This window comes from Homo sapiens, chromosome 1 (assembly GCF_000001405.40).
Source record: "Homo sapiens chromosome 1, GRCh38.p14 Primary Assembly".
NCBI classification, from domain to species: Eukaryota; Metazoa; Chordata; class Mammalia; order Primates; family Hominidae; genus Homo; species Homo sapiens.
Window position 1 is genome coordinate 200,840,285 of NC_000001.11, and position 26,411 is coordinate 200,866,695.

At 37.0% G+C, this 26,411-nt stretch overlaps 1 protein-coding gene and 1 pseudogene across 7 annotated transcripts in view, besides 1 other annotated feature; both read left to right on the plus strand.

Moving 5' to 3' along the window:
• The window catches only part of CAMSAP2 (calmodulin regulated spectrin associated protein family member 2), a 121,812-nt gene extending 101,392 nt beyond the window's left edge, over positions 1–20,420 (plus strand). For 4 of the 7 annotated variants that reach the window (NM_001297707.3, NM_203459.4, XM_017000799.2 and 1 more), the window contains 11 exons: positions 1,710–1,803; positions 4,498–4,585; positions 6,926–7,008; positions 7,356–7,425; positions 7,748–9,950; positions 12,257–12,393; positions 12,991–13,211; positions 14,533–14,605; positions 15,726–15,841; positions 17,022–17,140; positions 17,470–20,420. In NM_001297707.3, the coding sequence (NP_001284636.1) occupies positions 1,710–1,803; positions 4,498–4,585; positions 6,926–7,008; positions 7,356–7,425; positions 7,748–9,950; positions 12,257–12,393; positions 12,991–13,211; positions 14,533–14,605; positions 15,726–15,841; positions 17,022–17,140; positions 17,470–17,775 (3,510 nt within the window). In that variant the 3' untranslated portion in view covers positions 17,776–20,420. The remainder of the gene's footprint in view (positions 1–1,709; positions 1,804–4,497; positions 4,586–6,925; positions 7,009–7,355; positions 7,426–7,747; positions 9,951–12,256; positions 12,394–12,990; positions 13,212–14,532; positions 14,606–15,725; positions 15,842–17,021; positions 17,141–17,469) is intronic. The other 3 variants (NM_001389638.1, NM_001297708.3, XM_047416203.1) reach the window with 1 other exon arrangement.
• RPL34P6 (ribosomal protein L34 pseudogene 6) lies at positions 23,490–23,916 on the plus strand (annotated as a pseudogene).
• Positions 26,305–26,354: an enhancer, noted in NCBI's record as "active region_2303". NCBI's record gives its function as "activates an Ori minimal core promoter by ATAC-STARR-seq in GM12878 lymphoblastoid cells {active_cell/tissue: GM12878}" and the evidence as "EXISTENCE:reporter gene assay evidence [ECO:0000049][PMID:35858748]".

Below are 26,411 nucleotides of genomic sequence, written 5' to 3' on the forward strand. Positions count from 1 at the left end.
TCTTTTTATTTTTTTTTAGAGACAGGGTCTCACTCTGTCACCCAGGCTGGAGTGCAGTGGCACAATCAGCCAAATCCTGGGCTCAAGCTGTATTCCTGCCCTAGCCTCCCAAGCAGCTAGGATGACAGGCACGTGCCACCATGCATAGCTAATTTTTAAAATTTTTATAGAGGCAAGCTATGTTGCCCAGGCTGGTCTCAACCTCCAGGCCTCAAGCAGTCCTTCCTCCTCAGCCTCCTCAAGCACTGGGATTACAGGCATGAGCCACTGCGCCCAGCCTCTTTTCTTCACTTTCTACATACACGATAGCCTTCCAGAACTATCAGATGAGAGATGATATTTGAAAGTCACCAACTTAAATATGAGAAAACCAAGAGAACGCATGAGTTCTAGTGGAGAGCATATAGAGTTTAAGGATTATTCATAATTAGCAAGTAGGAAGAAGGCAAGACATTAGAAAATAACCATATCCAGGATAATCTTAAAAACTTTAATATGAAATAAGACCTTATTAAACATTAATAAATTTGATAGTAACTATTTTATTAAATGCCAAACACCCAAAATTTAGAAAACATATTATTTTAAATAGTTATGAAAACAGATTTTGTAGTTTTTAAAAATTTACCGAATGCCTAAAATTGAAATAATTCTTCATGCTTACAGCTTTTATTTTATATGCATTTTAAAATATAAACTTGTAGTAGAAATGTGCTTTTGAGGACCCTTAATCCTTTCTCTTAATTTTAAGCCATTTAAAAAATTATTTACATTTTAAAATAGTAATAATAAAAGGTAACATTGTTGACTTATTGATAACTTTTCAAAGTTAGGTAGATACATTCATTGTATAAATAATGTTTTGTACATTTCAAAATTATTAAAAATTAGCTATAAAAATTTAGTTTTGGTGTTATTTAGCACCTGTATTACTGGTGAGTTTAACATTACTGAGCACATACATATAACTTTTTTTGTTTAAGACGGAGTCTTGCCCTGTCACCCAGGCTGGAGTGCAATGGCATGATCTTGGCTCACTGCAACCTCTGTGTCTTGGGTTCAAGCTATTCTCCTACCTCAGCCTCTCAAGTAGCTAGGATTACAGGCACGCGCCACCACACCCGGCTAGTTTTTTGTATCTTTAGTAGAGACGGGGTTTCACCTTGTTGGCCAGGCTGGTCTCAAACTCCTGACCTCGTGATCTGCCCACCTTGGCCTCCCAAAGTGCTGGGGTTACAGGCGTGAGTCACCACGCCCGGCCAAATAAAGTATTTTTTTAACACTACATCCAGTTACGTTTTGGAGAAATTTCTAGGGATCTGAGTAGAGCTTAGTTATGTTTTGAAAGTGATAACCCCTCTTTAGAGTGTCAGATGATTGAATAACTTTTTAAGTTGCTTATATTTACTTTGGAATGAAAGTGCCTTATATATTATCTCAGTGTTCTACACAGTTAGAGGTATTCATGCCTGCTAGATCAATTGGACCACCATTTTAGAACTATAGAGCAAATGATCAGCAAGAGGTTTTGAATAGTTATAATTTTTACCCACAAGAGTTAATATTCCATCCCATGTTTAATAGCCTACTATAGTGAATATACTCCAGTGATGAATGAATGAGATTTAAACCTATATTTTAAAACAATAAAATTCTGTTTATCATGAAGTTTTACCTAATGTAGGCTTTCTCTTAAATTTCCTATATAGAGTAATTATTTGGTGTTCATGGCGGAACTGTTCTGGTGGTTTGAAGTGGTGAAGCCGTCTTTTGTACAGCCTCGTGTTGTTCGTCCACAAGGAGGTAATCAATCTTTTTAATTTTAAATGTTCCTATGAACAGAAAAAAATGGAATGTTGATATAACCTTACCTGGTTACATTTTTAGAAATCAGCCTATTATTTTTTTTTTAGATTTCAGCTATTACACTTGATAGATTCTCCTAACCTCTTAAAATGGTTAGAGGAGAAGAAAAAGAAAATGGAGGGAATGGCTTTGAATTTGAAGTCTTATGATGTGGAACTTTTAGCTTTAACTGTCCATTTCTTTTCTTTGCATCTTTTATCGTTATCCCAGCTTTTATTCCCTTTTAGATTCTTAGTTTTTAACATTGTGTTACCCAGAATCCCCACAAATTATTGTTTGGCCTTAACCCGCAACTCGAATTTGCCATTAAACTATAAAAAGGTTTGTATGGATTTTTAAACCTAGTGGATTTTATGACTATTATATCATGAACTATTGATTGTACATAATAAGAATAAAATTAGTAAGAAATAAGGGGGTTACTGTAAAGACCCCTAGATATAAGGAACAAAAAATCTTCCTAAATTTTCTGTAAAGCAAAATTTCACATAGCAAAACCAATTTTCTCTTGGCTCCCATTATAAAACTAGAGGTTTATTTCTAGGCTGGGTGCGGTGGCTCACGCCTGTAATCCTAGCACTTTGAGAGGCCTAGGCGGGTGGATTACCTGAGGTCAGGAGTTTGAAACCAGGCTGGGCAACATGGTGAAACCCTGTCTCTACTAAAAATACAAAAATTAGCCGGGCATGTTGGTGCATGCCTGTAATTCCAGCTACTCGGGAGGCTGAGACAGTAGAGTTACTTGAACCCAGGAGGCAGAGGTTGCAGTGAGCGAGATTGCATCACTGCACTCCAGCCTGGGTGACAGAGATGAGACACCATCTCAAAAAAAAAAGAAAAAAAAAAAAAACTAGAGGTTTATTTCTATAGGGGGAAAAATGATCTTAAATTATAAGCTTAGCCCACTAAAGAACTTTCTTCCAGCATAACTTATGGAAACATTTCTGTCTGCTACCAATAGCTGCCCTACCCAACGCAACACATGATCATTGTGCATCCCAACTACTTAGCAGCTTTCCTTGGCTCCAAAGTTTGTTATTTTTGTAACTGCTACCGTTACCTGCACCTCCCCGCTAAACCCCCAAAAAATAAAAGAAGAGAAAGTGATCAGGAAGGAGGAAAAACATATGTAGCCAAAGGGGAGGCATAGTCTAGTGAGTACAATGAGGTTACTTCAGGCAGCCCACCGCATCTCAGGCAAAAATCTGTGAAATAAGCAATAATTAGAGTATTGCTAAGCTTCTTAAGGCAGATTCTGAATATCGAGTCACTATATAACATTATATAACTTCTTTACATGCCTATAAAAAAATTGAGATGCTCCCCTAAGTCCATTGAATGAAGTCAGATATTCTTAGTAATTTTCATAACCAATATTTGTATAATTTTTAAAAATTATTAACAGGGTTTTCACTACATTGCTTTCTGTGATTTCACCTGTGAAGCTCACTATTCAAAATACCAACAGCTGTTGCATCAGATCTCAAAGTCAAAAAGTAAATTGAGTCTTCCTCCAGAGTTACTTACAAAAATAAAAGTATACCAGCAGGTTTAATTATTTTCTAAAGAAATTCTGTTTTTCTCTAATTGACCAAAATACCAGCTGTTTCATAAAGAAGCAGAGCTGACCATATGTATCTGAAGTTCTATGAAAGCTTTCACAAAACTAAACGCTCAAACTTATTTTTGTTTTTTTTTTGTTTGTTTGTTTTTGTTTTGTTTTGTTTTGTTTTGTTTTTGAGATGGAGTCTCGCTCTGTTGCCCAGGCTGGAGTGCAGTGGCACAATCTCGGCTCACTGCAGGCTCCATCTCCCAGGTTCACGCCATTCTCCTGCCTCAGCCTCCTGAGTAGCTGGGACAACAGGCGCCTGCCACCACGCCCGGCTAATTTTTTGTATTTTTAGTAGAGGTGGGGTTTCACCATGTTAGCCAGGATGGTCTCAATCTCCTGACCTCGTGATCCACCGGCCTCAGCCTCCCAGAGTACTGGGATTACAGGCGTGAACCACCACACCCAGCCACTTATTTTTGTTTTAAATACATGTATTTATTTTATGTTAGGCTTTTTCCCCCTAATTATCCTTAATCAGATGAATTTTTTAATTTAAGAAATTTTTGGCTGGGCGTGGTGGCTTACGCCTGTAATCCCAGCACTTTGGGAGGTTGAGGCGGGCAGATCACAAGGTCAAGAGTTCGAGACCAGCCTGGCCAATATGGTGAAACCCTGTCTCTACTAAAAATTCAAAAATTAGCTGAGCGTGGTGGCGGGTGCCTGTAGTCCCAGCTGCTTGGGAGGCTGAGGCAGGAGAATTGCTTGAACCCAAGAGGTGGAGGTTGCAGTGAGCTGAGATCGCGCCATTGCACTCCAGCCTGGGTGACAGAGCGAGACTCCGTCTAAAAAAAAAGAAAGAAAATTTTTTTTAATTTTGAAATTAAGTCTGAATACTTCAAAAAGATCTTAAAGAAACTTGACCCTTTGAAAATTATTTAAGAAGAAAACTTTATGCTATGATTTCTCAATACGTAGAAAGGGAAATAGAAGTTAAATTTTGTTATAAATTTGCTTATGGTCCAGAATTTTTCATAGAAATATGCTAATTTGAGGGTGTTTTTAAAAATCTTTTATTCCAGCTGAACCTGTAAAAGATATGCCTTCAATTCCTGTCTTGAATGCTGCCAAAAGAAATGTCTTAGATAGTAGTTCTGACTTCCCTTCAAGGTAAACTCCACAATGACTTTATTTTCACCATTTCTATTCTATTTACTAATTAAATTACATAATATTATATTACATTAAATAAGGTTTTTAAGAATTTCAGTTGGATTTTGAACTGTTATAATTAGCTTACCCTATTAAAGCCTGTTTTAACTTAAATATAAATTGAAATATACACTGAAATGAATGTTTATGTACCACACTGAAAAGATGGGACAATATATTCTAAGTTCCCAATAACCAACCTAAAACCAAACTTTTGATGCATAACTTGTTCATAATTGAGAACTGTCTAATAGGTAACTCTTAGGCCTTGGAGGGAAATTTTGAAATTCTATTAGGACTTTTACATATTTTATTATTTTAAAAATCTTTGAAGGTTTTTCCTGCTTTTTTTTTTTCTTGTTAGGATAGCTATTGAGAGATCACAGTGTTACCCACACAACGGGTGGGTTTGGTCTCTTGGCAGATGACAGTCCAAAGCCACAACCAAGGAGGATTTAACAAGACGAGGATTTTATTACTTGCAGCAAGTAAGGAGGACACCGGGAATAATTCCCCAAAGCAGTGCCTCCTCAAGCAGAGGTGAAAATAGGGCTTTTAGTAGGCTGGTTAACTGTATCATTGTGTGTAGAGGTGGAGTAAAGGCAGTAAAGGCACAGTCATCAGTCATGCTTCTGCATACTGGCATGTATAGAAAATGCGGAATAAGCTCCTCCTTGGATGGGATTTTTAGTGTGGTAATGGTAATACATTTCCGTCTCAGGCATCTCTACATCCACCCAGCTTGTGTAGTTTTTGTTTTGTAATGTGGGGTTGGGCTGCTTCCTGGAAATTTCTCAAACAATAAAAATTTCAAGGTGCAACAGTTACAAGCAGGTACCTTTTCACAGTGTGTACCTGAAAACCCAAGGACCCTGGGTTACAACAATAGAATATTTATTACAATATTAAATCTTTAATGTTTTAGTACATAGTATTAGGAACTAAACTGAAAGCAAAGTAAAAATGTCCTATCATATTAATACCTAGATAATCCTGACTTCTCACCCAGGTATATGATAGGGACATTAGTTTGTTTAAAAATGTATTTCAGCAGCTCCTATAAGCAGCTTTTTATTTGAATCTATTAGAACCTACAATTTATATTGACTTTGGACTCCCTAATCTATCTGATTTTTTACGTTAAAACTAATGTCTTTTGTGGGTTTTTGGAAATTCAGACACATTAAAAATACATTTCAAAAATTATGAGTAAAACATTCAAAGTAATTTCTGTATGAATTCTTGGCTTAACACAAAAATATGAAATTTAGCAGGCATGGTGGGTCAATAGTGACATTTCCTTCCTTGAAGATTTAGAAAACACTCAGTGTTCTAGGTCATCACTCTTGCTCTATTAAATCTTTAAATTCCACTTTCAAAGTGGAGGAAAGTAAAGCTTTCCACTCAAAGATTAGATTATTCCATAATTATTCTAGGAACCTAAATGGACAGTCTCCCACATTTCTGAAAAATGTTTTAATTCATGTCCTCTGGAAAACTCATCTCTTTTCTGTCTCTCAGACATCTCAGCAGCTCATTTTTCCTATTTTTCCCAGCAGAAACTCTTTTTATAATGCAGATGGATGTCTACATTCTTTTCCTTGAAAAGTTATTGTGTAGCCATTATTCTAGGCTATTCTGAGTTCCTAGTCATCCTCTCATTTCTATAAGTCTCCATATGGTCCATTGTAGTTCTCCAACACTGTGGAACTTTTGAGAAAGAATTGAAGTATTTTTACCCTTCCTGGGAATAATGTAGCCACATCTCAAATGTTAGTGAACCTAAATAATGATTTTATGAGAAAGAAAAAAACAAAGGACGAAGACAGACAAAGCAAAAGATGTTTTCAGCAGCTACTCCACACACTTGGCTACCAGCTGTTGGAGATATACAAACAGGTCCGTGAGCAGAGAGGCTGTCAAGGTATTTTACTAGGGTTTATTATACCTATAGTTTTTAGAGATTAGATTTGACCAAAGTATTTCAAATTGGTGAGTTTCATTTTACTTTTTTATATATCAGTTTTTATGTTTATAAAAATGAAAATAATTCATATCTCACAAAGACATTGAGATGTATATGAAAGTACTTCAAGTTGTTTGGCTAAAAGACATAAAATATATATAGATACATACTGTAATCACAGCCATTCTTTGGTTTAAACAATATGTTTCCATATTTTTAAAATTTAGGTTGTAGAATGAGAGGTGGTAGTGTTGTTTCTAACTTAAGACATTCTACCTAAATTTATATTAAACAGCTAAAATATAACATTTTAAATTTATTTTCCATTGCAGTGGGGAAGGAGCTACATTTACACAGTCTCATCATCATTTGCCTTCTAGGTATTCACGTCCCCAGGCTCATTCTTCAGCCTCAGGTAATATATTTGAAAAAGCCTAGGAAAATACTCTTTTAAGTAGGTTACCTGGGAAATGATTGACAGTAAATATAAATAAACAAATATCCAGGGTTTTTTTGTGTGTGTGTGTGTGTGTTTTTTTGTTTGTTTGTTTGTTTTCTGAAAAATGGCTATTATAACACACTAAAAGCATGGTCAGTTTCACTGTGGTTGCTTTTCTTGATAAAATTATCTCTAATTCTCCTTATGTACCTATTTAATTTGTATTGCTATTAATGAATCCTCAAATACATGAAATCTCCTAAGTTGCTATAAGTTAATTTTTTTACATGATTTCAATGGCTTTTTCTTTTTTGCATTTGAAGGAGGAATTAGAAGGTCTTCATCTATGTCTTATGTTGATGGCTTCATAGGGACATGGCCCAAAGAGAAAAGGTAAACAAAGAGAATTACTTTTAGTGTATTCAGATTATTAAGAAATGCAAATTGCATCTGTGTCTCTCTTTTATTGATAACCAAATTGCTAAAACTTTTAATTAGTTCCTAAATTTGAAAAAGGCAGTATAGGCAGATGATAGAGATGTAAAAGAGGCTAACTTTAAAAAGTAGCTAGATAGCCCTCCCCTTACCTTGAAGACAGTATGATTATGAGAACTGGGGAAAGAAAGGAAATGTAATTTCAAATAATTCTTGTTAAATGATACTAAAAATCATTTCTAGGATTTTTAAAGGATTTTTCTCTTTAACTTTTTTTTAGATCATCAGTGCATGGCGTATCATTTGATATTTCTTTTGATAAAGAAGATAGTGTACAGAGATCCACTCCAAACCGAGGAATCACTCGTTCTATTAGTAATGAAGGACTTACTCTGAACAACAGTCATGTATCTAAACACATTAGGAAAAATTTGTCCTTCAAGCCAATAAATGGAGAAGAGGAAGCAGAGAGCATTGAAGAAGAACTTAATATAGATTCTCACAGTGACCTCAAATCTTGTGTGCCCCTTAACACAAATGAACTAAATTCTAATGAGAATATTCATTACAAGCTTCCAAATGGAGCTTTACAAAATAGAATACTTCTTGACGAGTTTGGCAATCAGATCGAGACACCAAGCATTGAAGAAGCATTACAAATAATTCATGATACTGAAAAATCTCCTCATACACCTCAGCCAGACCAAATTGCTAATGGCTTCTTTCTTCATAGTCAAGAAATGAGTATCTTAAATTCAAATATCAAGTTAAATCAATCTAGTCCTGATAATGTAACTGATACGAAAGGTGCCTTGAGTCCCATAACTGACAATACTGAAGTAGACACTGGAATTCACGTTCCTTCAGAAGATATTCCTGAAACTATGGACGAAGATTCTTCGTTGAGAGATTATACTGTAAGCTTGGACTCTGACATGGATGATGCATCTAAATTTCTTCAGGATTATGATATTCGAACTGGCAACACCAGGGAAGCTTTGAGTCCTTGTCCAAGTACTGTAAGTACCAAGTCTCAGCCAGGCAGCAGTGCTTCTTCTAGTTCTGGAGTTAAAATGACCAGCTTTGCTGAACAAAAATTCAGGAAACTGAATCATACCGATGGAAAAAGTAGTGGAAGCAGTTCTCAAAAAACTACACCAGAAGGCTCTGAACTTAATATTCCTCATGTGGTTGCTTGGGCACAAATTCCAGAAGAAACAGGGCTTCCACAGGGACGGGACACTACCCAGCTGTTGGCCTCTGAAATGGTGCATCTTAGGATGAAACTAGAAGAAAAGAGGCGTGCTATAGAAGCCCAGAAAAAGAAAATGGAAGCTGCTTTTACCAAACAGAGACAGAAAATGGGAAGGACAGCATTCCTTACTGTAGTGAAAAAGAAAGGGGATGGGATATCTCCTCTACGAGAGGAAGCGGCGGGTGCAGAAGATGAGAAAGTATATACTGATCGAGCAAAAGAAAAGGAATCACAAAAAACTGATGGACAAAGGAGCAAGTCACTGGCAGATATAAAAGAGAGCATGGAGAATCCTCAAGCCAAATGGCTAAAGTCTCCAACTACACCTATTGATCCTGAGAAGCAGTGGAACCTGGCAAGCCCCTCAGAAGAAACTTTAAATGAAGGAGAGATTTTAGAATATACCAAATCCATTGAAAAGTTAAATTCATCCCTGCATTTTCTACAACAAGAAATGCAACGCTTGTCACTTCAGCAGGAGATGTTAATGCAGATGAGAGAGCAACAATCTTGGGTGATTTCACCTCCACAACCCTCTCCACAGAAACAGATTCGAGATTTTAAGCCTTCTAAGCAGGCAGGCCTGTCATCAGCCATTGCACCATTCTCCTCAGACTCCCCTCGTCCTACTCACCCATCTCCACAGTCTTCTAACAGGAAAAGTGCATCTTTTTCTGTTAAAAGTCAAAGGACTCCTAGGCCAAATGAGTTAAAAATAACACCTTTGAATCGAACCTTGACACCTCCTCGGTCTGTGGATAGCCTTCCTCGGTTAAGGAGGTTTTCACCAAGTCAAGTTCCTATTCAAACTAGGTCATTTGTATGTTTTGGGGATGATGGAGAACCTCAGTTAAAGGAATCCAAACCTAAAGAGGAAGTTAAAAAGGAGGAATTGGAATCCAAAGGGACTTTGGAACAGCGTGGACATAATCCAGAAGAAAAGGAAATCAAACCTTTTGAGTCAACAGTCTCTGAAGTCCTATCACTGCCTGTCACAGAGACTGTATGTCTGACACCAAATGAGGACCAATTGAATCAACCCACAGAACCCCCTCCTAAACCCGTTTTCCCACCCACTGCTCCAAAAAATGTTAATCTGATTGAAGTTTCCCTCTCAGATTTGAAACCCCCTGAAAAGGCTGATGTACCTGTTGAAAAATATGATGGAGAAAGTGATAAAGAACAATTTGATGATGACCAGAAAGTATGCTGTGGATTCTTTTTTAAGGTGTAGTATTAATCTGCATAGTTTTGGGCATCTTCATTAGATGAGTGTGGTTGTGTTGGATATTTTTTTTTTCAGTTGACATGCTTGCTTCTTTCAGTAGCAGTCCCTTTTGATACAAGTTCATCCCCATTAACTATAGTAACATTCAAGCACACTGTGGTTTCCAGTATGGACTCAAAGCTGTAATAAATCCTTTTATCACATGTTTAGATGTATTCCTTGGTTTTGCTCCTCTACTGCTCTTTCTCACTCACAAAAGCCTTTTAAAAATTAAGCTACTCAGATCTCTTCAGAGAATGATTCCATTTTGTCTCTTAATCATGTAACACTGCCATTTTTTTTAACAGAATGCTACTGTAGACACTAATAGATATTAAAATTTACTGCCTAGAGACTCTGTTCCTTGCAGAGGAAGGGAAACAAAGGGGAAGAAAATCATTAGTATAAAACAGGCAGTACCTCTGTTGCTTCATTTCTATTCCATTTATTTACACATCTTCACCACCCCATTACTCATCTGTTGGACTATGGTTACAGCTTCTTGACTGGGCTGTCTGTCTCCAATCATGCCATTCCAGTCTTCATACTGCTACTAAAGGTGATAGTTCCAAGAGCATAGCTCCAATTGAGTCTCTTTCTAGTCAAAAATCTTGCCTGTTGAATAAAGTTCAAACCCTTTAGCACAACATTCAGGGACTTTCACAGATGAACCTAAATCTTTTTGTCTAGCTTCTTCCCCATAATTTTATTTTGTATTGTTCTTTAAGATTAACTTCAAGCTTCATCTAAAGCCTTTTATAATTCCTTCAGTCGAGGTCAAATGTTTCATCATTTGTGTATCTATTGTATCCTTAAATATACTCATACCTGTCCTGTGTCCCGGAGTTTTCAACTGTTTTGTATGATTTGCTTTGTCTCTTAGACCATGACCTCCTAGAGGTGCTGCATCTTTTTATTTTTATTTATTTATTTATTTATTTTTTGAGACAGAGCTTCGCTCTTGTTGCCCAGGCTGGAGTACAATGGCGCAATCTCGGCTTACCACAACCTCCGCCTCCTGGGTTCAGGCGATTCTCCTGCCACAGCCTCCCTAGTAGCTGGTATTACAGGCATGCACCACAAAATAAATTTTGTATTTTTAGTAGAGATGGGGTTTCTCCACGTTGGTCAGGCTGGTCTCGAACTCCCAACCTCAGGTGATCTACCCGCCTCAGCCTCCCAAAGTGCTGGGATTACAGGCATGAGCCCCCGTGCCCAGCCAAGGTACTGCATCTTTTTATCCCCATAGCATAATAAAGTGTCTGGCAAACTACAATATATGTAATTTGATAGATGAAGACATATGAATGTTTGAACTAATTGCTTGAATGGTATCTTCTGACTTTCTCCATTCAGAGTTAAATCTCTCTCTGGGTTTCCATACAAAGCCTGTTGTTTGTACCTCTTCTCCTTGTGATTTTTTAGGCTCCTTGACCTGAGGTACCATATATTTTAATATATGTAATATCTGACACTATGTTGTGAGTATGTTAGACACCAAAGAAATGTTTATTGAATTAAGCATTGGCAGGGACAGTTGACAAGGAGACATTAAGACAGTGAACCACTTCTACAACAGCTTGTTACTTTGCTGAATTCTGAAGCATTTTGGAAGCCCGCTGAGAACTAGGGCTGTCCCTAAGGATTCAGGTAGAAACTAGGGCAGGCCCAGGAGGCCTATAGATAATGAACTAGCTCTCAAATTAAAAGTACTGTAGAAGGGAAGTATAATCATCCCCATCTTTTCTTCAATGGAAAAATGTTCATTATAGTTCAGAACCTATCAAGCAGACTGTCAGTACCTCAACTTAAAATCATGCAGCAATAGTTTCATTTATGTGCTACAACATTGGGTGGCTAATTTTGGGATGTTTTTACTTGAGGTATTTTTACTGAGCTTATATTTTAAATAAAATTTAAATGCAATTTTAAAAATTGGTGGGGGAACTACCTACTGTAAGTTATTAAATTAGGGTTAAAAAAAATTTGTGCTTTTTTGTTTTGTTTTTATGGTTGTTCTTTGCAAATCTCATAGGTTTTGACAGAGTGTAATTAAATAAGTTTGCCTGTCCTCTTTTTTGATGGAACTGTTACCACTGTAGTTCCGTTCTTCCTTCATAATTTCTCAACCACACCCACATTCAGAAGGGTTGTAATAGTTCAAACTTTCAGTTATAGGACTAACCACAAAATGTGACTACAACAATTGAAAATGAGAATATTGGTACCTAAAATGTTTGATCGTTTTCAATGAAATTCGTTCTTAGGATGATCAAAAAGCAGAAAATGATATGGCAATGAAACGGGCAGCTTTGTTGGAGAAAAGATTAAGAAGGGAAAAGGAAACTCAGCTCCGGAAACAACAGTTGGAAGCAGAAATGGAGCATAAGAAGGAGGAAACAAGGTAAAGGAAATTGCTGGCCCAGTGCTAGATCTGAACTTTAATGATGCATGGGCATATTTAGAAAAAGTTGGTAAGTACTCAAAGAGGTGGTCTCTCATTAATTTTTATTAACAGATTTCTTTCAGAGAAGTTTGTAGTATAGATAGACAGCTGGATCAATGCTATTTTTTGGTGCTTTGTAGAAATCAATTTATTTTCCCAAAGTATTGCCTAATTTTATATTTTTATCTTAAGTTTAAGGCATCTCATGGGAAAGTTCTCTAGAAACATTAATTTAAATAATTATATGTTTAAAAAACATTAAAATAACTTTCCTGGGAGATACACACACACACACACACACACACACACACGACCTAAATTATCTCAAATACCTTTATTTTTATTTATTTATTTGACTCTTCCTTCCCTCCTTTATTTACTTATTTATGCTTAATCCCATGTCTCAGCAGAATCGTCAAGTACCTTTTAAATGAACCATTTATTCACCAAGGTGATGAAATAGAATTCTCCTTTCTCATATCAAATACATAACTCTCTCCTGTATGGTTTGTCTTTGGTATGCAGAATAAGAACTGTAACCATTTGATTTCTTAGGCGTAAAACTGAGGAAGAACGTCAGAAGAAAGAAGATGAGAGAGCACGCAGAGAATTTATTAGGCAAGAATATATGAGGCGGAAACAACTGAAACTAATGGAAGATATGGATACAGTAATTAAACCCCGTCCTCAAGTAGTAAAACAAAAAAAACAGCGACCAAAATCTATTCACAGAGATCATATTGAATCCCCCAAAACACCAATAAAGGGTCCTCCAGGTAACATAGCTTATTATGAAGAGTCTGTTCATAAAAAACACCAGCTTGATTGGTTTGTCATACTAACTTGGTTGTACTTTGATGTGCAAAATTGGATACACAGTTTGAGATTGTGCATGCTCCCTTTTGGAAAACCAAAATGAGCAAATGAAGTTTTTAATAAATTAAATGTATTATGTGTGCATGCATATATTCAGTAGAACAAATGTGAATGCTAAAAATCAAATCTAAATATTAATCTATTAGGGAACTGTGCCCTCAGATATAATCTCCTTGAACTATTAACTGCCCTTTACATACTTATAAATTTAAATAAATGTTATATGCATGAAATGTACAAGAAACATGTTGGTATAATAAGGAATGCAAGATCAAGAGTTCACAAGTCCCTCCTTCAAGATAGAAATGGTTGAAAATCCAAACTTATAATATCTGGAGTTGAGAGAATATATTTTCTTTAAAAGTCAGTATACATACTCATTATTACTATTATTATTTTTTGAAACGGGGTCTCAGTCTGTTGCCCAGGCTAGAGTGCAGTGGTGTGATCATGGCTCACTGCAGCCTCCACCTCCCTGGGTTCAGGTGATCCTCCCACCTCAGCCTCCTGGGTAGTTGGGACTACAGGTGAGTGCCACCATACCCAGCTAACTTTTTTGTATTTTTTGTACAGATGGGGTTTCTTCATGTTGTTCAGGCTGGTCTCGAACTCTTGGGCTCAAGTAATCTGCCTGCCTTGGCCTCCCAAAGTGTTAGGATTACAGGTGTGAGTCACTGCGCCTGGCCATACTCTTATTTTTAAAAAAATCTTGGGGGGCAGGGATAAATTCGTAAAAATAAAAGAAATCTTTATTAAAACCAAATGCCATGGAAATTTTTTAGAGAATTCTCATAGTTATACTAAACCTGAGGAAAAATAACATAATATTGACTGTTTAAAGAGAACTCTGTTTTCAAGCCTGTAAAACTAATTGATATAATTTTCTACCTAGAATTTAGATATTATGAAATTTTTTTTTGTTATTGTTTTTTTCTTTAGGATCACAGTATCACGTCTCATATTAACACTTTCCTTTTGGAACGCAAGTTAGTTTTATCATTGTTTCCTAAAAGTAGGTTCCTTGCTAATTTTAAATAAATTGTGTATATATGCATGCAAGCATATTATGTGTTTAAAAGTACAGAGAAAAGGAAAAGAAACTACAGAAGCTCAATTTTTATATGCTGGTGTTATCTAATGAACAGACTCTTTGCTAGTTGCTCCTTTTAAATTTCTGATTTTGTTTTTATTCAGGATCATGAATTTATCGTGTTTTTTCAGTCTCTAGCCTTTCTTTGGCATCGCTGAACACGGGTGATAACGAGAGTGTACATTCAGGCAAGAGGACGCCAAGGTAAATCTATAACGTATGAATATTTTTACAGAAAAGAATATAGTACCTGCAATTATACAAACTCTAAGTAAAAATTCTTCAGTGTTTTTACATTTTATAATGACCAAATCATAATCACAAATTTTACTAAGTTTTGCTGACTTAGGACTGTTAGAGTTTCTGTTAAAATAAATTATGTAAAGAGGTGTCTATTCATCTTTCAGTGCTTGTCTTTTAGAATTTAGAATTATTGACATTGATAACATACTTTTTATAAGCTATGAAACATTAACAGTAATTATACATCAGTAATTGCTAACATGATTATTAAATCACAGTCAGTAGAATGAGAGTACCAACTTCTCTAGTCTATTACCAACTAAGACAAAGGAGTTTTCCCCATTAGAATAATTCCAAAGTGGGTTGCCTATGACTTAGGAAGGATCTCTTTTGTATTTTCTTTCTCTAGGATTCTTTCTCTAGATTAGAAGCTAAAAGTCAGTATTTTATTACTTTATACTATAATATCATATCAGAAAAGAACATTTCTAGTGACAGTCATCATCTTAGAGTTCTTATCTTTGTATTACCATCCTTTGTGTTATTTGCCAGTTTTCACATTGAAAAACATTCACTCTTTCAACAGATATTTATAGAATGCTTACTATGTTCTAGGAACTTGGATGTGTAGCTGCGAATAAGACAAACAATGTTATATTATTTTTTATTATTAATTTTTTTTTTTTGAGACGGAGTCTTTCTCCATTGCCCAGGCTAGAGTGCAGTGACACGATCTCGGCTCACTGCAACCCCTGCCTCCTGGCTTCAAGTGATTCTTCTGCCTCAGCCTCCTGAGTAGCTGGGATTACAGGCGCGTACCACCATGCCCAGCTAATTTTTGTATTTTTGGTAGAGACGGGCTTTCACCATATTGGCCAGGCTGATCTCGAACTTCTGACCTTGTGATCTACCTGCCTCGGCCTCCCAAAGTGCTGGGATTACAGGCATGAGCCACCGCGCCCGGCCTTATCATATTATTTTTAGGCCTTTAGGTTGATTTTGATTGTTACTTTCACGTATACCCTCTGGGCCCCATTTTTTCTCTGTTTGAGACATAAAACATATTTTATTTTCTAATTAGATCAGAGTCTGTAGAAGGCTTCTTATCTCCAAGTCGTTGTGGCAGTCGAAATGGAGAAAAAGACTGGGAGAATGCATCAACAACTTCTTCAGTGGCTTCTGGAACAGAATATACAGGTTAGTGTCTATACATTTTTAGAGAAACATTTGAATTTAACACACTCATAAATGGAGGGTGTACTAAAGAAAATTTTATTGGCTCACCTTTGGGTCTTAAACATAGGCAACTAATAAACAGTGAATGCAGGTGGTCACTTTCAGGTAGTTCAGTAAGTTTCTAAACAAAATTAGTGATGCTACTTATATCTCATCCCTCTAACCAATGCTGGCCATTTCTGTGTGTAGTTTGGGTCCGAAGAAGTTTTAGAGAAGTTCTACATAGTTCCTCAGTACTGAGTAAAGGCTAGAATCCACCAAGTCCTCTCCCTAATACTGGGATTCCAGGTATCCAGAATTGTGCACCTTTAGCAAGTATTAAGAGGCTCTAAAAGATAAGAATGCATTGAATCTAGGAAGGTATCTAGCCTCACATATCGCCACCAAGTCCTCTTCTAGCTTCTAGGTAGGCATGATTGGAATAAAAGCAATGAAGAATAGAATGTGGGTTAAGGACACTTCTAAATAAATGAAGCAGGAGAGAAATCAGAAGAAATGTCAGCAGCACGTTGAGAGGTAAGATAGGAAGGCATGGGAGAACATGTATGGGGAAGAGCAGAGGGAAAAGGAGATGCCTCCATCTATCCATGATAGAGTGGAAGTGGAAACCCTAGAAAGGCCTAAGGAGGTTAGAACTTGCTAGAGACCCACTCTGTGGCTTTTAATACTACCTCCTACCGCCAGTCTGACAGCCTTTAAGGCCTGGGATTTGACAGTATTTCCATGTTACTCACTCTGCTTCTCTATGTTAGTTCAGTTGAACAATCTGAAAAAGAAAGCTTTTTTTTGCCTTTTGAAAAGACTTAAATTACTCATGGACCCATTCTACTCTAAGCTAACCAGTAACCGTATAGATTTAAGAAAGAAGGTTAAATAGGCAGTATGACAGTTATAGCAATATTTTATTTTTAGTACTGCTCTCACAGGGTACTCCAAAAGGCCATAGGAACATCCTCCATATCTCTGGGTGGATAAAACAATGTTTTGGTTGGATTGCAGCCAGTAAGAGGCCTTTAAGCACAGAATTTGGTCTTCTATTACAATATTTCAGCAGTGTAGGAACAATTACATCATTTTAAAATAGTAGTATTTCTGACTTAGGAATGTTATTTTTATTATTGTTGTTAAATCCCTACCATAGGACCAAAGCTCTACAAAGAACCCAGTGCAAAATCCAATAAGCACATAATACAAAATGCTTTAGCTCATTGCTGTTTGGCTGGAAAAGTAAATGAAGGTCAGAAGAAAAAAATACTGGAGGTAAGCATGTTTGCATGAAAATTAAATTTGGCAAACTGTAGAAGTCTTTTATCCATTCAAGAGAATGTACTCTCATGGGCCTAGACTTTCAACAGCATGTAAAAAGATCTGTAGCTAGATGTTTTAATTATCAGATTTAGTTTATTTTCACATTAGGTTCTGGAAGCCTGCAGATTTTATTAAAGACTAGCAATAGGCTTTAAGATTTGTCATTGAAATAATGTTATAAAATGTGACTAAGAAACGTAACATAATTATATAAACTTTATTCAGCAAAATAAAGGGTTTTTATTCGTGTTGTTATGTTGTTTTTGTTTTTTATTTTAAAGGAAATGGAGAAATCAGATGCCAACAACTTCTTAATCTTGTTCCGGGATTCAGGATGCCAGTTCAGATCTTTATACACTTATTGCCCAGAAACTGAAGAAATCAATAAACTGACTGGGATAGGCCCTAAATCTATCACTAAAAAAATGATTGAAGGACTTTACAAATATAATTCTGACAGGAAACAGTTTAGCCACATACCCGCTAAAACTTTATCTGCCAGTGTTGATGCAATTACCATTCATAGCCATTTATGGCAGACCAAAAGACCAGTAACACCCAAAAAACTTTTACCCACTAAGGCATAGAAGTTGGGAAATACTTGCTTCAGAACATTCATGGTAAATTTGCACTTCATCTTTCCTGCCTATAGAAAATCTTTCTAATTGCCAACAAGACTTTTATTAATTAAAACTGGACATTAAGCTCTGTTGTCATGAACAACTGGAATGTAAACCACAGTATTTTGGAGTGCAGAACATTCTCAATTAAGTGATAAGTCCAAATGATGAAGGAAATGTTTTAATTCACAAATGGAGATTTGTATGTGTTATCAGGTTCACCTGCTTGATATTAGATACATTAAAGCACTGAATTTTCATGGATATTAGTTGGATTTATCATTGAAATATGGTTAAGATTACAAATTATGTGTTTTATTTGTTGCTTTTTTTTAACCTTTTAATGTATATTCTTGTCTTCAGATGGTTTGCTATTTTTCTCTCCTGGGGGTTTATTCTAAGATACCTTTGTATTTTATTTCATGTGGAGATCATGAAAGTAGGAAATATACCTTTAGAAGTAACTCGCACCTTTCTTATGATGTTAAGAGAAACACTAGTGTTTAGTTTTACAGTAACCCTCATATTTTAATGGTGTTACAGCATTTGCAAAAATTATTCTGCTAAGTATTTACAACTCTATTTATTATTCACTCAAGTATTAACATTCTCTATTAAATAAGAGGAGGTGTTGTAAAGAGCTGCTAGTAGGTTCGCTTTAAACCACATGAGCTTAACCAAGAATATGTTATGAGAAGTTGCTGATTAAATCAGTGCTGTTTTTACACCACTTCTGGCCAACTCAGAATAATTTAGATTGTTCTTTTAACAAAAAAGGCTTTCTATCTCTTTTAAAGTAAGTCACTTTATAAGTTGGCAGAAGTGAATGACACTTTGAGAGTAGTCTTTCAATCTGAAGATGTAAGACTTCCTGAAACAAGTTCTCAAGAAGTCTTTACATTATATTTATAACTCATATAAAAATTATATTTAGAATTTTTAAACATGTACAAAGGGCTACATTTTAATTTTAAAATAGCTTCACATTATTTTACTTATATTGGGTTTTTCTTCATTTTAATCCTTTTCAAGTGGAATGGCTTAGAATAAGTATACACTTGAAATCTCCTCTACATGATCTTTGTTCTTTAACAGTGTATACCAGAGGGTTAGTTGGGGAAAAACTTCATTCTCAGGAAAAGACTTGAATGATTATGTGACCCTGTTATATTTCAGTGTTGTGACAAATGTGTAAACTAGCGGGGGAAGACAGTATTGTATCATAAATGAGATGCGTAGTTTGTTTTCTTTCATGGGAAGTAGAGATAAAAATATATACATTTCTCTAATTGAGTTGTTTAGAGAAAGAACTAATGTCTCATATGATGTATTTACTTATTTTAAAAAAAAGAATAGGAATGAGATGTCCCTGAGCTGTACTTTTCTATTATTATAAGGCCTTTAGGCATCAGTGCATCTGGGTTATCAACATTTTCTCAAATGCTGTCAATATTTTACTGTAATTTATGTTCTTATATTTATGTATATTTGTTAAAACTGTAAAAAAATTTCACAGATTTTTTTCCAATACCTGTGCAAGATACATGTGTAGCTCAAAACTATTTGTGATCTACTGTTTGCATGTAAGAGACCAGGATATGTAACTCTTATATTTTAAGTGTATACATATTGTGTATATAACATATGGATATTAAAAATGGGGAATTGCACATTTTACCTTTTGGACAGTAATTTCTATCACAGTTAGAAGGAAATGATAGTCAAATACACGTTTAGATTAAAACTAGTTTAAAAAATTATAAATGAATCTAATCAAAATGTGAATAGTAGTCAAAAGGATAATTTAATAAGCATTTTACGTTACTAAATTTGTTCATTTCAATATTAACTAAATTTCCCTCATCAAAGCAATCTTTGTGATATTACTTCGCTATTAAATAAAGAAAATTGGATGCAAGACAATGGAGAAACTTTAAAACTAAACAGGACCACCCTTTATTCTTAAATTTGTGTGTGTCCAACAGTTGAATTGAATGTCTATAAGGTCTAAAGGTAGAATGTGAATATTGCCACAGAGTTCATTGCTCTCAGTATAAGATTTTACTTTATTAATGCAGAAGGAATATGGATATATTTCTTTAAGTCTGCAGATTTTTTTATTATGGTGCAGCTTTTTTTTAATTATGTTTTTAAAATTATACAGTTGAAAAATATGCCATTTCATAAAGTCTGAGGATTTTCGTCAACCTTACTGAAACACACTGGTGCTTTCATCATCAGAGGTCAAATTATTATGATAACTATTCCATTAAGTTTGCCAAACATTTGTCGTGGTTACCAGTGCAGCCTGTCAAATTCTGCTATTTGACACAGCTTTGGAAAGATTTAGTTCTTGGTTTTTCCGTTTTGTATTAGAATGACTGTTACAGTTTTATTTGGCTGTTTAAAGCCAAATTCAGCTATTTAATTATGGTTTCATGGACACTGTTGAGCAATGTACAGTGTATGGTGTGCTTACCTGTCCACTCTAGAGCATTGCTTACAGGTTTTTTGTTTTTTAAGATGCTGTGCTGTAAAATACTGTCATACTTGCTATTTCCTGGTACAGTGTAGTTTTTCCCCTTTCATTTGAATAAAAGCATGGCACCAAATGACTCCTTTTCTGTTTCTTGAATAAAATGTAGTTTTTGGTAAAATTATTTGAACTTGAGATAACTCATACAGTTTTTCTATCCCCTAACCTATGTTTAAATTTAATAACTTGAATATTCATAACAGGCAACTTGAAATAATTAGCCTTTTAAAAATACTAACTTAGGGCAATGTTAAAAAGTCGGTAACTTTCTATGCTTAGCACAGACGGTCTACATAGTATGATTTATAAATGTGCTTATCTTATGTTAATCTTGCTCATACTAATTCACTATCTTTTGGTGAATTGATAGTTATATTGTACCAGAACTAGTGCTCTATGTCTTTGAAACTGAATGGCCAGTGAACTCACTGATCTGGAGTAGCCATGAGAAGCTAGTTCTTGACCATTATTTTGTAAGTTTCACTTTGATTTTGCTGATTCTACTTACTCAGAACAGAGTAAAGAAAAAGGTGTTTTTTAAGAAAAAAGAGATCTGATAACAAAACTATAAAATAATCGTCATGCCTAATTATATACCTGAAGAAATATCTGGTTAGTAGACATAAATGTGGTTTTCTAGCTTGGGACCTTTTTGATAGGTTCTGTAACTTCAGAGCACAGCTATATTTCCACAATATTTCCAGTACTTTAATTTTCAGAAATAAAAATATTTAACCCGGCCGGGCGCGGTGGCTCACGCCTGTAATCCCAGCACTTTGGGAGGCCGAAGTGGGCGGATCACGAGGTCAGGGGATCGAGACCATCCTGGCTAACATGGTGAAACCCCGTCTCTACTAAAAATACAAAAAAAATTAGCCAGGCCTGGTAGCGGGCACCTGTAGTCACAGCTACTTGGGAGGCTGAGACAGGAGAATGGCATGAACCCGGGAGGCAGAGCTTGCAGTGAGCCGAGATTGCACCACTGCACTCCAGCCTGGGCGACAGAGCGAGACTCCGTCTCAAAAAAAAAAAAAAAAAAAACCCTAAGACCCAGGCAACATTAGAAAAATGTACACAATGCCAGGTATGGTGGTGGCTCATGCCTATAATCCCAGCACTTCGGGAGGCCAAGGCAGGCAGATCACTTGAGGTCAGGAGTTTTGAGACCAGCCTGGCCAACACGGCGAAACCCTGTCTCTACTAAAAAATAAAAATTAGCCAGGCATGGTGGCATACGCCTGTAATCCCAGGTACTCAGGAACATGAGGCAGAAAAATTGCTTGAACCCAGGAGGCGGAGGTTGCTGTGAGCCAAGATCGCACCTCTGCAGTCCAGCCTGGGTGACAGAGTGAGGCTGTGTCTCAAAAAAAAAAAAAAAAAAAAAAAAAGTGTACACAAACCCTAGAGCCCCCACACAATAAGAATGTGTTGCCTTATGACTGAAATTGATACTTCTTAACTAGGGCAGAGGAAAATATTCTGTAGTGAATAGGAACAAACACCTTTATTTCATGATCTGTCTACACAGAAAGATGATAATAAAATTCAGCAAAGGAAATGTAGCTGTAATGTTATGACCTAGGAATTGGCTATTGGAGAAACACATCTATAAAATGAGTGTGAAATTCTGTCGTCCCTTAGAAGTATATAGATGCTTAAGAAATAGGTATCTTCTCAAAAGAAACAAATGAGATATTAATGATTTTGCCTAATTTGATGGGGGTGGGGGAAGTACACAGATTGGTATGTCAGAGTTGCTCTTCAAATAAGGAGATCTAGAATCTAGTTTCAGTCACTTCCTTTTTGCCCCTGTGGGCATGTAGGTCTTCTAGCAACTCAAGGCCACATGCTTAGACAACACAGATTAGTTTTGTACATGTGTTTAAATCACTGTGGTGATATGTGTCACAACAACAGCTAAAATCAGATAACTTTATTCCATCTACAGTGGCTTATTTATGTCAGGAAAATAGGGGGCAATTATTTTCCATCAAAGAGGTGAAAAGCAAATTAAGAAATGTTTTAAGACCCACTAAGGTTTTTTTTTTTTTTTTTTTTTGGGGACACATTAAGCAAAGCCACCATGGTACCTTAGGCTACTAATGCATTTGATTCTTCTTAACCCCAACCTGTTGTTTTAGGTGATTGAACCTGTGATTCAGCCTTCAGTAGGTGTTAGAGGCATCCAACACAGGTGGCAAGTATCGTCTACAGCACCTCTACTTCACAGTTACATTCAGCTGCTGTGATTCCTGGCCGACCCTATTATTCATACTTCAGGGTTTGTGTGTTTATATAGAAAAGGAAATGTGGCTCTCAACCCGAGATCGCGCTGCTGCACTTCAACCTGGGTGACAGAGTGAGACTCAGTCTCAAAAAAAAAAAAAATTGCTTTATAATTTAAAAGATTCTTTGCTTTGCTTTCTCTTTTAACTTACTGCTGCCTGGGAGGAGGTGAGCATTTACGTCTCCATTCTACAGATGAGGAAGATGAGGCTTTAAAAGGTTAGTAGCTGTCCCAGGGACTCAAAGCTAGTAAGTGACAGCATTACAAGTGGCACCTAAGCCTTCTGGTTTCAAATCCCCTTACTGTGCCATATGGTACAGTTTCCCACTGCGTTGTACATGTTGTGGAATAAGAATAAGGCTCACAGCTGTTACTAGTTAATAACGTATTCACCATTGGTAGAAAACTCAGAACTTGTGGTTAAAGTGGATTTTGTTCTCTTGCCCAAGACTGTTAACCATCATCAACACAACAGCTAAAATCAGCCTGTTACGCTCACCTGCTGTTTAATATCTAGATTCATAAAGATGAGAGAATGGAAAAACTGCAAAAGTGGTGAAAACAAATTCTGATAATAGGTTAATCAGAATTATCTAGGAAACAGTTATTAGATGAAAGGGGCTAGGTAGGTCACAAAGGTAAGTTCTCTTCCATCAAGGAACTCTTGAAGTGGATGCCATTAGACCTTTACAAACAACGGATATACCGTGTGCTGTATTAGAGGTATGGAACCGAAAGTAAAGGACAGATGCGCCCTTGTCTTGTCAACAGTAAGAGCCTCTTGTCCATCAAGAGAATTCATGTACTTTATAGGGTACTAACTCTACTAAAACTAACTCTATAAAGAACTTAAGACTGCTCTTCCTGGGGAACTTGTCTACAGGCACTCAGAATGGTCCAGCATTTGACATACTGTCATAGGCTTTCCTACAATACAGCCTCTAACAAAACTACGCGAACCCCTGGTAATAGAATTGTTTACCTTTATACCAAGAAGGTTGGGAAAGCATCAAAATCTGCGTGTGGCGTGTGCCCAGGCAGACTTTGAAGGGTTTGTGCTGTAAGACCTAAAGTTCTTATGAGGTTGTCCAAAACAAAGAAACATGTCAGCAGGGCCTATGTTGGTTCCATGTGTGCTAAATGTGTTTGTGACAGGATCAAGCGTGCTTTCCTTATCAAGGAGCAGAAAATTGTTGTGAAAGTGTTGAAGGCACAAGCAGAGTCAGAAAGCTAAATAAAAAATGAAGCTTTTTTGAGTAATAAAAATGAAAAGACTTGCTGTATGGAAAAAAAAAAAGACTATCTTACGTTGTCAGCCAACAGGATACCACATTAATTCTTTAAATACTGAATTTTGCCGGGCGCGGTGGCTCACGCCTGTAATCCCAGCACTTTGGGAGGCTGAGGCGGGCAGATCACGAGGTCAGGAGATCGAGACCATCCTGGTTAACACGGTGAAACCCCGTCTCTACTAAAAATACAAAACTTTAGCCGGGTGTGGTGGCGGGCTCCTGTAGTCCTAGCTACTCAGGAGGCTGAGGCAGAAGAATGGCGTCAACCCAGGAGGCGGAGCTTGCAGCTAGCTGAGATCGCTCTGCTGCACTCCAGCCTGGGCAACAGAGCGAGACTCCATCTCTAAAAAAATAAATAAATAGTGAATTTTGAATTGCAGAGACATCAGTTCTGTTGATAGGGCCTTGAGGTCCTCATTTATGATGAGAACAAAACTAACTAAACTGCATCCTCTTTCTTAGCCAGAGGCTAAGTACAGATATTTTTGTATACATTACGAAATGAGTTTGTACTTGGATTCTTTATCCTTATAGTCTCAACACAATCGGTATTCAATAAATATTCGTCAAATGAATACATGAAGGGAGGACTATGCAGTCCTGGCCCAAAATTCAAAATCAAATTCAAAACATGTTCTGATTTCTTCTAGGTCACCCTTCATTTCTTACTATAGATATTTTTGCCCCCAAAATACAAACCCAAAGTTGGCTTTTCTGCTCTGACTCCCCCTGGTTCATGCCATTTCAAAGGACCCAGGTGCAGCTTGAAAATCTGACCTATTGGTCACCGTGACACAATGATGTACTGTTCCTTTTTACCTCTCTCCAGCTCCTCTCACAAATTATGGGCCAGTCTCAAGGCTCAGTTATTCATGTTCTGCTGTCTCCACTCTTTCCAAGAAGGGCTTCAATATCAGCTTTGACTGACACCTCCATTCAGAATCTACATCTCCAGCCCTGAAAGCTTCCTCTGGGCCCACTCATGCATCTAACTGCCATCTCAACATTTTCACCTGGGAGTTCCAAAGTCATCCTCAACTTAATCTGTTTAAAAACCAAAAGTCAACCTGATTTTACAACTTCCTTATAAAAGCAACTCTCCTTCCTGAAAGCCAGCCACCAAGACTGAAAGGTCTTATCCCTTGTCTAACACAGAAGACAGCCTCATGCACAGACAGCCACCAAATCCTATCAAATATTTTTACTTTGAAACTGCTCCTCATCCCTGCTGCCACCAGCTTCAAGTCCAGGCACCAAAAGCTTATGCCTAACTGCAAGAACCTTCAAGTGGTCTTACCCTAATTCGATTTCACCCTCCAAAGTGTCTTGCAAAATCTAACTTTCTTAGACTTATCTTAAAAGTTCAACATTGTTTTTATTTTGAATTGCGGGGAGGATGGGGGTGGGGTGTTGAGGTGGTGGTAATCTGTTCAGTGCTTGGAACCACTAAAGGTCTTGATCCTGTTTTTCAGGCGGCTCCTATACACAGACCTTTTTCTTCAGAAAAGCTGACCTGCTTCAATCTTGATAGAAGTCAGGATATCACAATCTGCCTTATATCAAAGTTATTTGTACATTATAGCTAATCTCCAATAATGTGTAAGCTTCCTGTAAGGATGCACCATGTCACATTCTTTGTATCTGTTACATTACCCAATAACAGTGCTTGCCCCACAGTAAGAAGGGGCTGTTTACAAAGTCAACTGGAATCAAATGTGATATTAAGAATTGGTTTTGGCCCGGGCGCAGTGGCTCACGCCTATAATCCCAGCACTTTGGGAGGCTGAGGTGGACAGATCACTTGAGGTCAGGAGTTCAAGACCAGTCTGGCCAGCATGGTGAAGCCTTGTCTCTACTAAAAATACAAAAACTAGCTGGGCATGGTGTTGCACGCCTCTAATCCCAGCTATTCAGGAGGCTGATGCAGGAGAATCACTCGAACCCAGGAGGCAGAGGCTGCAATGAGCCGAGATTGCACCACTGCACCCTAGCCTGGGTGACAGAGCAGGACTCCATCTCAAAAAAAAAAAAGAATTGGTTTCACTGATCAGTAGCAGGATCACAGCACTGTAGAGGGACCCTCTACCAATGCCAAGGGAATGCTGCCAAATTCCTCCTGCAAATACTTGGAAATTTACACTAACTCTCTGTGAAATCACTGAAAAGTAATGGCAAATCATAGGTTAGAAGCTCCTGTGGGCAGAATAATTGCTACAAAGAGAAAACGTTACTTTCTTTCCAAACAAATTCTGGGGCCATTTTTATATTGGGGATGTCCCTATTGCTTGTCTTTTAAGTTTCTGATGGTTTTTTTTTTACCTTTAAAAAACGTTCGAGCTACAGGAACCTGCAGTGGAAGAAAGGAGTCTCACTTTCCTTGAAAGCTACACTCTTCTCCTCCAGCCTCCCCTCCCTTCCCTGACCCCCTCCCCCATGTCCCCTAAGAGGCATCAATGATGTCCGGGGTAGATGGGGGGCCCTGGGACAA